This window comes from Homo sapiens, chromosome 10 (genome assembly GCF_000001405.40).
Source record: "Homo sapiens chromosome 10, GRCh38.p14 Primary Assembly".
Taxonomy (NCBI): domain Eukaryota; kingdom Metazoa; phylum Chordata; class Mammalia; order Primates; family Hominidae; genus Homo; species Homo sapiens.
The window spans coordinates 43,541,954-43,555,757 of record NC_000010.11 but is presented as its reverse complement, the minus strand read 5'-3'; the positions used below and the strand labels follow the sequence as shown (position 1 = coordinate 43,555,757).

Here is a 13,804-nt window from a genome sequence, read left to right as displayed (position 1 = left end):
CAGAAATCATGTTGGGGCTTGATAAGCTAAAAATGGCTAGCACAGAAAGTATTCGAGAATGCACTTTTGTTAAACATGTCTCATCACATTGGACAACATTAAGATGCGAGGAAAATTTAATTTATCAAACTACAGCAATAAGGAGAATAGGAGAAAGACTATCAGCAAATGAAAATTTGAAAGATGGAAAGATAGCCAGTAGAGCAGAAGCAGGCACAGTTATGCTGCTTGCATATGGGGATAAGGAAAAGAAGGAACCAATTTGGCACCAGGCTCAGAAATGCTTAGTACCTTGGAAGATGGGAGTGAGATGTGAAGAGAAAGCAATGAAACTAATGGCCATTTGTATATGGAACATACCTCCTCATTACATAAACACACACTGCTCCCCAACTCCTGTACGTGGCTGACCAGAGGTTTAACGTCCAGCAAGAAATGGGAAGTTTCTTCTCTGCAGAAGTTGAATGGCCCCAAGGGAAAGACCTCTGTATTATGGGAATTCGGGAATCCTACAGCAAAGCTACTTTCTAGCTTAAGTACACATAAACAGAGCTTCAAAATTCATGAAATAAAAACTGGCAAAATTGAAAGAGGCACAATTTCAATTATAATTAGATAGTTAAATAAGTAATTGATAGCACAAGTCACTTAGGAGGTATAAGCCTTGAACAGCACTATCAACTAACTTGACTAATTGGCATTTGTAGAACACTCATTAGCATGATATATTAATATATTTTTATTTTTTAGGGACAGTGTGTCACTCTTTCACCCAGGCTGAAGTGCAGTGGTGCAATGAGTTAATTGCAACCTTGAATTCCTGGGTTCAATCAATCCTCCTGTCTCAGCCTCCAGAGTAGCTAGGACTATAGGCATGTGCCACCACACCCAGCTATTTTTTATTTTTGTAGGGATGGAGTCTAGCTCTGTTGCCTAGGCTGGTCTCGAACTCACAGGCTCAAGCAATCCTCCCTCCAGGACCTCCCAAAGCACTGGGATTACATATGTGAGCCACTGTGCCCAACCTGTATACATTCTTTTCAAGTGTGCCTACTATGGACTGTAATAAAACAGTCTTAAAATTTTTTAAAGAATGAAAACCATACAAGGTATATTCTCTCACCAGGACAGAATTAAGTAAGAGACCAATAACAAAGATGTCTGAACAATCTCTTAGTATTTGGAAATTAAACAACATACTCCTAAATGAGCAATAAAGAGAAAGTAAGAAAAATTTGAAAATATTTTGAACTGAATGAATATGTCAGAATTTGTGAAATGTAGCTAAAGCAGTGCTTAGAGGTGAAATCAGAGATAAAGATTTCAATTCGATAGTCTAAACTTCCACCTTACGAAATGAGAAAAAGAACAGAAATCATCCAAAGCAAGTAGAACAGGAGATGATACAGAGCTAAAAGTCACAAAAATCACAAGTGGACAAACAATAGAGAAAATTTAATGGAACCAAAACCTAACTCTTTGAAAGGGTTGAAAGGATTCCTGTATCAGGAATGAAAGAGTAAATATCACTATAGGTCCTATACACCAAGAAGGTAATACAGGAATTTTATTAGTAACTTAATTCCAATAAATTCAGCAACTTAAATGAATTGGAAAATTTTATCCTAAGGACTATAGAACCAAAGCCCACTTGAGAGAACTTGAATAGTCCTATTAAATTGAATTTTTAGCTGATAACCTTCCCCCAAAGAAAAGTCATGAGACCAACATTGCCCAGATACCAAAGCCAAAAAGGACATCATAGGAAAAACTCATAGATCAATATCTCTTAATATAGATGTAAAAATCCTTTTTAAAATACCAAGTTGAACACAGCAATCTATAAAAGGAAACACATATGGCCAAGTAGGGTTTATCCTAGAAATGCAAGCTTTAACATTCAAAAAGCAATGTTTCATATTAATATTAAAAAGAAAAACCACAATTTTTTTAATGTAGGAAAACATTTGAAAAAATTTAACACCCATTCATGATAAAACCGCTCAGTTGATTAGGAATTAAATTGAGTTTCAAGAATCTAAGAAAGAGCATCTATGGGAGAACCTACATCTGACATCGTACTTACTGGTGAAGTAAAAAGCACTTTTCTCCTAAGATTGGAAACAAGAGAAAGATGTCTAGTCACCACTTCCAGTCAACCTTGTAGTGGATGTCCTAGCCAGTACAATAAGCCAATAAAAAAGAGGCTGGGTGTGGTAGCTCATGCCTAAAATCCTGGCATTTTTGGGAGGCCAAGGTGGGAAGATTGCTTGAGCTTAGGAGTTCAAGACTAACCTGGACAATATAGTGAGACCTCATTTCTACCAAAACTTAAATAAAAATTAGCCAGGCATAGTGGCATGTGCCTGTAGTGCCACCTACTCAGGAGGCTGAACAGGAGGATCACTGGAGGCCCAGGAGATCAAGGCTGCAGGGAGCTGTGATCGCACCACTGCACTCCAGCCTGGGCGACAGAGTGAGACCCTGTCTCAAAGAAAAGGGATACAGAATGTGAAAGAAGGCATGAGACTGCTGTGACATGATTGTCTATATGGAAAAGCATAAAGTGTCTGAAAATGTTTTTAAAACTAGTAAGTATGTTTAGCAAGGTCACAGGATACAAGCTCAATATTTTTAAAAAGTTGAAAGTATGAAAACGGCATCAAAATTATGAAATGTAGGGACAAAGTTACTAGACCTGTACTAAAGCTACAAAACATGTACTAATGCTAGAAAAAAGTAAATAAGTCCTAAAAATAAATAGATACACTGTATGCATGAGTTATAAACCTCAAGGACCTACAAAGTCAAAACAATTTTTTAAGATTTTTTTCTTCTTCTTCTTTGAGATGGAGTCTCCCTCTGTCACCCAGGCTGGAGTGCAGTGGCACGATCTCGGCTCACTGCAACCTCTGCCTCCCGGGTTCAAGTGATTCTCCTCCCTCAGCCTCCCAAGTAGCTGGGATTACGGGCGTGTGCCACCACATCCAGCTAATTTTTTTTTTGTATTTTTAGTAGAGACGAGGTTTCACCATGTTGACCAGGCTGATCTTGAACTCCTGACCTCAGGTGATCCACCTGCCTCAGCCTCCCAAAGTGCTGGGATTACAGACTTTTTTCAAAACTAAAGATATAGTGATCAAGATAGTATGGTACTGGATCTAGGCTACACATACAGGTAAACAGAATTGGACTCACCCATATATTTTCAAGTGGTTTTCAACAAAGATGCAAAGATAAAGGGAAAAGATAGAGTTTTCAACACAGTTCTGTAACAATTGAATCTTTGTATAGGGGAAAAATGAGTAATATAAGCATGAAAACCATAAAGTGCCTAGAAGAAAATCTTCATTAAAGAGGACATGAAAAACGTAAATCTTAGAAGAAAAAATTAAGTTGGGTTTCATCAGTTTTAAAACTTATGTTGTTTGAAACTTCATATCAAGAAACGAAAGTTATGGAGTGGGGGGAAATATTTATAGGACAAATATGTGATGAAGAAGGACTTATATACAGAATATATTAAAGACTCTTACAACCCAGTAATTCAGAAAAACATTCAAAACTGGACAAAAGGCCAGGCACGGTATCTCACGCCTGTAATCCCAGTACTGTGGGAGGCTGAGGTGGGCGGATCACCTGAGGTCAAGAGTTTGAGACCAGCCTGATCAACATGGTGAAACCCCGTCTCTACTAAAAATACAAAAAAAAAAAAAAAAAAAAAAAAAAAAAAAAAAAAAAAAAAAAGCTGGGTGTGGTGGCGGTCGTCTGCAATCTCAGCTACTCAGGAGGCTGAGGCAGGAGAATCACTTGAACCCAGGAGGCAGAGGTTGCAGTGAGCCAAGATCGCACCACTGCCCTCCAGCCTGGACAACAAGAGCAAAATTCTGCCTAAAAAAAAAAAAAGAAAAAGAAAAAGAAAAAAAACTAGACAAAAGAATGGGCATTTTATGAAGGAACATATGCAAATGGTCAGTAAGCACCTGAAAGGATGGTCAATATCATTAATCATCAGAGAAGTACAAATTCATTTTATGATGCCAATATTTTCCTAATACCAAAGTTGTCAGACAGTAGTACTAAGAAAACTGGGATTACAGTTTTCATTACATTACATTACATACCATACCCAGCCCAATATCCTTAATATTGAAGGATACAGGATACAGATCAATACCCTTCATATCCTGCATACACAAAGTCCTCAAAAAACATTAGCAAATTGAGGCTGGGCATGGTGGCTCATGCCTGTAATCCCAGCACTTTGGGAGGCCGAGGTGGGTGGATCACCTGAGGTCAGGAGCTCGAGACCAGCCTGGCCAACATGGAGAAACCCCATCTCTTTTAAAAATACAGAATTAACCAGGCATGGTGGCACATGCCTGTAATTTCAGCTACTCGGGAGGCTGAGGCAGGAGAATCGCTTGAACGTGGGACGTGGAGGTTGCAGTGAGCCGAGATCGCAACATTGCACTCCAGCCTGGGCAACAAGAGCAAAACTCCATCTCAAAAAAAAAAAAATTAGCAAATTGAACCCAAAAATATATCAACAGAATCATGCACTACAACTAAGTGAGGCTTATTCCACGAAGGCAAGAATAGTTCAATATATTAATCCACCATATTAATAGGCCAATGAAGCAAAAGCACATATCAAATAATGTAGGAAAAAATGTGACAAAATTCAACACCCATTCATAGTAACCTCACCAAGCTAGGAAAAGAGAGAAACCTCCTCAGCTTTACACAGAGCACCTAAAAATATGTACAGTTACTATCATACTTAATGGTAAAAAAAAAAAAAAAAAAGCAGTGCTTTCTTCATAAGATTGGGAACAAGGCAGGGATTCCACTCCCACAGCTCTTATTCAGCATAGTACACGAAGTCCTAGTCAGTGCAATAAGGCAATAAAAAGGAAAAAGACATATAGATTTTTAAAAACTGTCACTGTTTGCAAATGACACAATTATCTACACAGAAAATTCAAAGGGATACATGCATACACACACGACGAGAATAAATGAGTTCATCAGGATCACAGAATACAAGATCAGCATACCAATATCAACTGCATTTCTGTGTGCTAGCAATGATTATGTGAAAACTGAGGTTAAAGGCTGAATACCATTTACAATCACTCAACAATAAAAAAATTACTTAGGTATAAATCTAATAAAACATGTATAGGACTTGTATGCTGAAAATTACAAAACACTAATAAAAGAAATCGAAGAAGATCTAAATAAGTCGAGACATACATATTCATTGATATTTGAGATGTCAATTCTCTTCAAACTGATCTGTAGTTTTAACATAATTCCTATCAAAATCTCAGCAAGATTTTTTTGTTGATGTATGCAGGCTTACTCTGAAATTTATATGGCAGGGCAAAGGAACTGCAACCACTGAAAATGTTTTTGAAAAAGAATACAATGAAAGAAATCATTCTACCTGACTTTAAGACTTCCTTATAGTTAAAAAACAATCAAACAGTTTGGAATTGGCAGAGATAAAACAGTTTAATGGAACAGAAGAGAGAATCCAGAAATAGACCCACACAAGTAAAGAAAACTAGTTTTTGATAAAAGCGCAAAAGCAATTCAATGGAGAAAGGACAATATTTTAAACAGTGCTGGAGCAAATAGATAGCCATAAGTCAGAAAAAAAAAAACTTCAACCTAAACCTCACACCTAATACAAAAATTAATTCAAAATGGATCCTGGTTTTAAATTTAAAACTATACCACTTGCCGAAGAAAACACTGGAGAAAATCTTTAGTACATAAGCTAGGCAAAGAGTTCTTGACATATTAAAATCATAATGCATAAAACAATAAATGGAAAAAATAGAATTTTATCAAAATTTAAAACGTTTGCACTGTAAAAGACCCTTTAAGAAGATGAAAAGAAGGCCGAGGTAGGCGGATCACCTGAGGTCAGGAGTTCGAGACCAGCCTGGCCAACATGGTGAAACTCCGCCTCTACTTAAAAAAAAAAAAAAAAATTAGCTGGACATGGTGGCAGGTGCCTGTAATCCCAGCTACTTGGGTGGCTGAGGCAGGAGACTAGCTTGAACTTGGGAGGTGCAGGTTGCAGGGAGGCAGAGGTTGCAGTGAGCCGAGATCGTGCCACTGTACTCCAGCCTGGGTGACAGAGCCAGACTCTGTCTCAAGCTACATACTGGAAGAAAATGTTTATAAACCATATCTGACAAAGGATTGTATCAAGTAAGAACTTTCAAAATTCAACAGTAAGAAAACAAACAATCCAGTTAGAGAATGAACAAAAGATACAAAGACACATTTCACTAAAGTGAAGATACAAATGGCAGATAAGCACATAAGAAGACGTCAAACAGCCATTAGAGAAATATAAATTCAAACCAGAATGAGTTATCACTACACACATATTAGAAGAGATAAAATAGTAAATATAACAAATGCAGGCAAGGATATGAAAAAGTGGATCTCAGCCAGGTGTGGTGGCTCACCCCTGTAATCCTAGCACTTTGGGAGGCCAAGGCAGGCAGATTACCTGAGATCAGGAGTTTGAGACCAGCCTGGCCAACATAGTGAAACCCTGTCTCTACTAAAAATACAAAAATTAGCCGGGTGTGGTGGGGCATGCCTGTAGTCCCAGCTACTCGGGAGGCTGAGGCAGGAGAATCACTTGAACCCAGAAGGCAGAGGCCACAGTCAGCCGAGATCGTGCCACTGCACTCCAGCCTGGGTGACAGAGTAAGACTCTGTCTCAAAAAAAAAAAAAAGAAAAGAAAAGAAAAGAAAAAAGTGCATCTTGAGAAATTAATGGTAGGAATGTAGAATGGCATCCCACTCCCGAAATTAGTTTGGCAGTTTCTTTAAAATGTAAACAAACACTATATGACCCAGCAGTTGTACCCTTGTGCCTTTTTCCCAGAGAAATTAAACTTATGTTCACAGAAAACCTATACATAAATGTTCATTACACCTTTCCTCATAGTAGCCCAAAACTGGAGATAACCTAAATGTCCTACATTGTAGAGTTTAAAATATTGCAGAACATGCACCAATAGAACATGCACCAATAGAACACACAGATGAATCTTGTAACGTGCATAAATAGAACACACAGATGAATCTTGTAACACGCATAAATAGAACACACAGATGAATCTTGTAACGTGCATAAATAGAACACACAGATGAATCTTGTAACTGTTATGCTAAGTAAAAAAGCCAGGCAAAAAAGAATACACACTGCATGATTACAATTCTACTTTTATGAAACTGTAGAAAAGACAAAACTAGTGATAAGCAGCAGACCAGTTGTTGCCAGTGGGTGGGGATGTGAAAAAGAAATAATTACAAAGTGGCATAAGGACATTTTTGCAGTGATGGAAAGATTCTATATCATGTCAACAAACTACAGTGCACAGGCCCAATTCAGCCTGCCACCTGGTTTTGTAAGTTTTATTGGAATAAGGATTTGTTCATATATGTATTTTGCACTACAGTTGCAGAGTTGAGTAGTTGTGACAGAGACCGGACGTCATGCAAAACTTAAAGCATTTACTATGTGGCCCTTTACAGAAAACGTTTGCCAACCGCTGCAATATATGTTTGCGGTGGTGGTAACACAGATGTATATATTTGTCAAAAATTCCTTAAATTGTCCATTTAATGACATTGGCAGATATTATTGTTCATAAATTTTAATTCAATAAAGCTAATTTTAATACCTAGTACTTGCATGACACTTTTTAAATCCATTTAGCCTGTATAAAAACTTGCAGAGAAAAAAAAATCAGTCTAACAGCCACATTCATAATATTTAAATATGTATAATAAACTGGACATTTTTAATCAAACATTTTTTAGGCAGGAGATTTTTATTCATACTCTATGACTTTAACTTCTAAGTAAATAAAAATGCAACTGAAAAAAAGGACCAGTTCTGCTGAAGAGGTAACACACTTCAACCCGTCTGTGCCACAAGCTCAATGGATTTGTCTAGTAAATAAATGCATAGGAAAGTTTCTTCTTAAAAGCCCTTTGGAGCCAGGCGTGGTGGCTCACACCTGTAATCCCAGTACTTTGGGAAGCTGAGGCAGATGGATCACTTGAGGCAAGGAGTTTGAGACCAGCCTAGCCAACATGACAAAACCCCATCTCTACTTAAAAAAAAATTTTTTTTTTTTTTTTTTTTGTGAGACAGAGTCTTGCTCTGTCGCCAAGCTGGCGTGAAGTGATGTGATCTCAGCTCACTGCAGCCTCCACCTCCTGAGTTCAAGCGATTCTCCTGCCTCAGCCTCCCAAGTAGCTGGGATTACAGGCACGTGCCACCACAACCAGATAATTTTTTTTTTTAGTAGACATGGGGTTTCACCATGTTGGCCAAGCTGGTCTTGATCTCCTGACCTCGTGATCCACCTGTCTTGGCCTCCCAAAGTGCTGGGATCACAGATGTGAGCCACTGCGCCTGGCCAAAAATATTTTAAACATTAGCCAGGTGTAATCCCAGCTCCTCAGGAGGCTGAGGCAAGAGAATCGCTTGAGCCTGGGAGGCAGAGGTTGCAGTCAGCCAAGATTGTGCCACTGCACTCCAAACTGGATAACAGAGTGAGACTCTGTCTCAAGAGGAAAAAAAAAAAAAAGCCCTTTGGGGCCAGGCTCAGTGGCTCATGCCTGTAATTCCAGCACTTTTGGAGGCTGAGGCAGGAGGATCACCAGAGCCTGGAACTTCAAAGTGGGCAGCAAAGTGAAACCCTATCTCTACAAAAATAAAAATAAATTAGCCAGGCGTGGTGGTGCTCACCTGTAGTCTCAGCTACTCAGAAGGCTGAGGTGGGAGGATCGCTCAGGCCTGGCAGGTTGAGGCTACAGTGAGCTATGATTGCACCACTGCACTCCAGCACGGGCAACAGAGTAAGACCCTGACTCACAAAAAAAAAAAGAAATGCATGATTTCCTTCCACCTCTGCATCCAATATGCCTAGATGTAGTATTAGTTTAAATCTATTATCAGAACTTTGCTGAATGCAGCAAAAAGAAACCAATATTCAATTTTCAAATTTTCCTACCATTTCAGTGGTGTTTGCCTAAGTTTTCAAGATTTCAGTATCTGTATCCTTCCTTCCAAAGCCCTAACTCCAATAATAAGCCAATTATTTGGAGGACCTCACTTTTTTTGGGGGGGCGGGGGGAAGGAGTCTCGCTCTGTCGCCCAGGCTGGAGTGCAGTGGTGTGATCTCTGCTCCCTGCAAGCTCTGCCTCCTGGGTTCACACCATTCTCCTGCCTCAGCCTCCCGAGTAGCTGGGACTACAGGCACCCGCCACCATGCCCAGCTAATTTTTTGTATTTTTTAGTAGAAACGGAGTTTCACCATGTTAGCCAGGATGGTCTCGATCTCCTGACCTCGTGATCTGCCCACCTTGGCCTCCTAAAGTGCTGGGATTACAGGTGTGAGCCACCACGCCCAGCCAGGGCCTCACTTCTTATGGCAAAATTATCACTTAGGGACTGTCCCTAATAAAAATCCACAAGGGACCTGGTAGTGAATACAAAAGTCTTTGCAGCAGGAATTGAAATTCATGTTCAGTTGTTTCCCTTGAGGCTAATGAAGTTTCTAGACTGGAGAAGGTACACAACAATTTTGCAGAATAAATAAAAACAGAACTTCTAGGCTGAGCATGATGGTTCATCCTTGTAATCCCACCACTTTGGGAGGCCAAAGCAGTAATCACTTGAAGCCAGGAGTTCAAGGACAACAGAGCAAGACCTTGTATCAAAAAAAAAATTAATTAATTAATTAAAATTAAAAACAAACTTCAAGGGAACCCACTTCAGACACACTTTCACATCTTCATTGAATCTTCTCATGAAAGGAAAATGGGAAATATGAAAGAACCAGATATATACTAGTTGATGAACAAGTTCTGCAGTGATAATTCTCAAAGGAAAAAATAGCTAGATTTGGAAGGGAGGGTGGGTGGGATTGCTAGATGTAACAACTGGTGACTCTAATTAAATCCCATCTCATTAAGTGATTTACAAGTCCCTCTTTCCATTAGTGTCTACCCTATGAGATGGAACCTGGATGTCCTGCCTAGGTAATATTTTTGCAAACACCCAAGCATTGATGACTCTTTGTACTCCAAAAGCAAACCTCAGTTACTTGCAATTTTTAGAAGCTCTGTTTATGCAAATGTTTATAAAAATAAGGGACAGCAATCATTAAACTACTTCACAGATTCACCTCAACACTTAAAGAGTACTTGGCATGTAGGAAAACGTGTCCTTTGTGCTGTGGAAACTATGGTGACCACTCCTGTCTTCACAATAAAATAGAGATTGATTAAATAATGAACAATGCAACTATGGATTTTTTTTTTTTGAGAAAAGGTCTGGATCTGTCACCCAGGCTGCAGTGCAGTGGCGTGATCATATCTCACTGCAAACTGAAACTCCTAGACTCCAGTGATCCTCCTGCCTCAGCCTCCCAAAGCACTGGGATTACAGTGCCACTGTGCCTGGCCTCACCCATGGAATTATAAATGGATATAGCATCCATGAAGATCATTATGGGGCACAATGAAAGTATGTAAGATTGTAGTAAGAAGGTGGGTGGCACAAGACATTTTAGCATCTTTTGACACAGCATTTGGATACCAGAATGTTTGAAAACATTTAGAAATGTAAACACACTTATCAGAATTATACCAATACCAGTGAATTTGCTTTGAAAGAGGATTTTCTGCAGCAAAACAGTGACGCCTATTTTATTTTATTTTATTTTATTGTTTTATTTTATTCTATTTTTTGAGACAAAGTTTTGCTCTTTCGCCCAGGCTGGAGTGAAGTGGCGTGATCTCATCTCACTACAACCTCCACCTCCTGGGTTGAAGCGATTCTCCTGCCTCAGCCTCCCGAGTAGCTGGGATTACAGGCGCCTGCCTCCACGCCCAGTTTATTTTTGTATTTTTAGTAGAGACGGGGTTTCACCATGTTGGCCAGGCTGGTCTTGAACTCCTGACCTCAGACAATCCACCCACATCAGCCTCCCAAAGTTCTGGGATTACAGTGAGCCACAGTGCCCTGCTGCCTCTTTTTTTTTGTTTGTTTGTTTGTTTTTTTAGTATTTATTGATCATTCTTGGGTGTTTCTCAGAGAGGGGGATGTGGCAGGGTCATAGGATAATAGTGGAGAGAAGGTCAGCAGATAAACACGTGAACAAAGGTCTCTGGTTTTCCTAGGCAGAGGACCCTGCGGCCTTCTGCAGTGTTTGTGTCCCTGGGTACTTGAGATTAGGGAGTGGTGATGACTCTTAACGAGCATGCTGCCTTCAAGCATCTGTTTAACAAAGCACATCTTGCACCGCCCTTAATCCATTTAACCCTGAGTGGACACAGCACATGTTTCAGAGAGCACGGGGTTGGGGGTAAGGTAATAGATTAACAGCATCCCAAGGCAGAAGAATTTCTCTTAGTACAGAACAAAATGGAGTCTCCTATGTCTACTTCTTTCTACACAGACACAGTAACAATCTGATCTCTCTTTCTTTTCCCCACATTTCCCCCTTTTCTTTTCGACAAAACCGCCATCGTCATCATGGCCCGTTCTTGATGGTCGCTGTCTCTTTGGAGCTGTTGGGTACACCTGCAGAAAGGCTGTCACTTCACACTTGGAAGATTGCACAGCAGCCAGGCAGAGGCGCTTCTCACTCCCCAGACGGGGCAGCCGGGCAGAGGCGCTCCTCACTCCCCAGACAGGGCAGCCAGGCAGAGGCGCTCCTCACCTCCCAGACTATGGGTGGCAGGGCAGAGGTGCTCCTCACTTCCCAGATGATGGGCAGCCGGGCAGAGGTGCTCCTCACTTCCCAGATGATGGGCAGCCGGGCAGAGGCGCTCCTCACTTCCCAGACGGGGCGGCCGGGCAGAGGCACTCCTCACCTCCCAGATGCCTCTTTTATTCTTAAGTGAATTTTCAATTCTGCATAATTTAATCTTTTCCAATTTTTCTAATATTATCTTTGCATAAATTATTATAACCTGTATCAATTATTTTCTATATAAATTTCACATGATGTGATCTGTCAATCAGGTGTTTATTTGTATAATGCAATGAATTTATGTGTATGATGTTCTCTTCTAGCTCTAAAAAAAAAAAAAAAAAAAGAAGCCAGGTGTGGTGGCTCACTCCTGTAATCCCAGCACTTTGGGAGGCCAAGGCGGGTGGATCACGAGATCAGGAGGTCAAGACCATCCTGGCTAACACGATGAAACGCTGTCTCTACTAAAAATACAAAAAATTAGCCGGGCGTGGTGGTGGGCACCTGTAATCCCAGCTACCTGGGAGTCTGAGGCAGGAGAATGGCGTGAACCCAGGAGGCAGAGATTGCAGTGAGCCGAGATTGTGCCACTGCACTCCAGCCTGGGGGACAGAGCAAGACTCTGTCTCAAAAATAAATGAATAAATAAAAATAAAAATAAATTAGCCAAGCATAGTAGTGGGCTCCTGTAATCCCAGCTACTCTGGAGGCTGAGGCAGAGAATTGCTTGAACCTGGGAGGTGGAGGTTGCAGTGAGCCGAGATCACACCACTGCTCTCCAGCCTGGATGACATAGCGAGACTCCGTCTCAAAAAAAAAAAAAAAGAAGAGAGAGAGACCTAAGATGATGTTTCCTCCTCCAGAGGAATTTTTCTTGCTGCTAACGGGGGACACACTCCTTGATATCTTTAAAGGAATTTCGTGTTAGGTGCAGTGCCTCATGCCTATAATCCCAACACTTTGGGAGGCCAAGGCAGGAGGATTGCTTGAGTCAAAGAGTTTGAGACCAGCCTGGGCAACTGGACAACAGACCCTATCTCTACAAAAAAAAAAAAAAAAAAAAAAATTCCTGGGCATGGTGGCACATGCCTGTAGTCCCAGCTATTTGGGAGGATCATTTGAGCCCAGGAAGTTGAGAATGCAGTGAGCCATGATCACACCACTGCACTCCAGCCTGGGCAACAGAGCAAGACCATATCTCAAAAAAAAAAATAAAAATAAAAGGAGATTTCAGGGCTGAAGAATGTTCTGGGCTTTCCAAACATCTTGAAGTCCACTGCAATTTGTGGGAAGGCTGATTTTCTTTTTGTTCATGCTACCTGTACAGAATCTTCCAAGGGTCCGGTCAAGGCAGAGGTATCCTGGTCCATCTCATCCATGGGCCACAGAGGTCTCTTTCTGCCCCATCATCCCTGCAACACCCTTAAAAGCAAACCTCAGCCTATTACCTCTCTCAGGTCAGCCTGAGTCTCCAGAGCAAAGGCAGCCTCATACGTTGTGCTGACATGGAATTCCCATTCTTTTTACATCATACCCCAGTGATCACTGTCTTATTATTTATGTGCTTAGAAAGAATGTTGAAAGTATTTTTATTTTTTTCGAGACAGAGTCTCACTCTGTCACCCAGGCTGTAGTGCATTGATGCATCTTGGCCCACTGCAACATCCACCTCCTGGGTTCAAGTGATTCTCATGCCTCAGCCTCCCCAGTAGCTGGGATTACAGGCATGTGCCACAAAGCCTGGCTATTTTTTGTATTTTTGGTAGAGATGGGGTTTCACCATGTTGGCCAACCTGGTCTCAAACTCCTGACCTCATGTGATCCGCCTGCCTCGGCCTCCCAAAGTGCTGATATTACAGGCAAGAGCCACTGCACCCAGCCTAAAATATTTTTTTCAGCTTTGTCCATTTTCTTTATTACACAGGTTGATCAAAATTATCTTGTCTACTTTTAATGGAATAATCCCCTACACGAGCAAAAGCAGAAGTTGTCTA

At 40.7% G+C, this 13,804-nt stretch overlaps 1 annotated feature.

The window, feature by feature from the left end:
- Nucleotides 11,051-11,564: an enhancer, noted in NCBI's record as "NANOG hESC enhancer chr10:44039642-44040155 (GRCh37/hg19 assembly coordinates)". NCBI's record gives its function as "activates a minimal SCP1, AML or CMV promoter by ChIP-STARR-seq in naive H9 embryonic stem cells {active_cell/tissue: H9 hESC(naive)}" and the evidence as "EXISTENCE:reporter gene assay evidence [ECO:0000049][PMID:30033119]".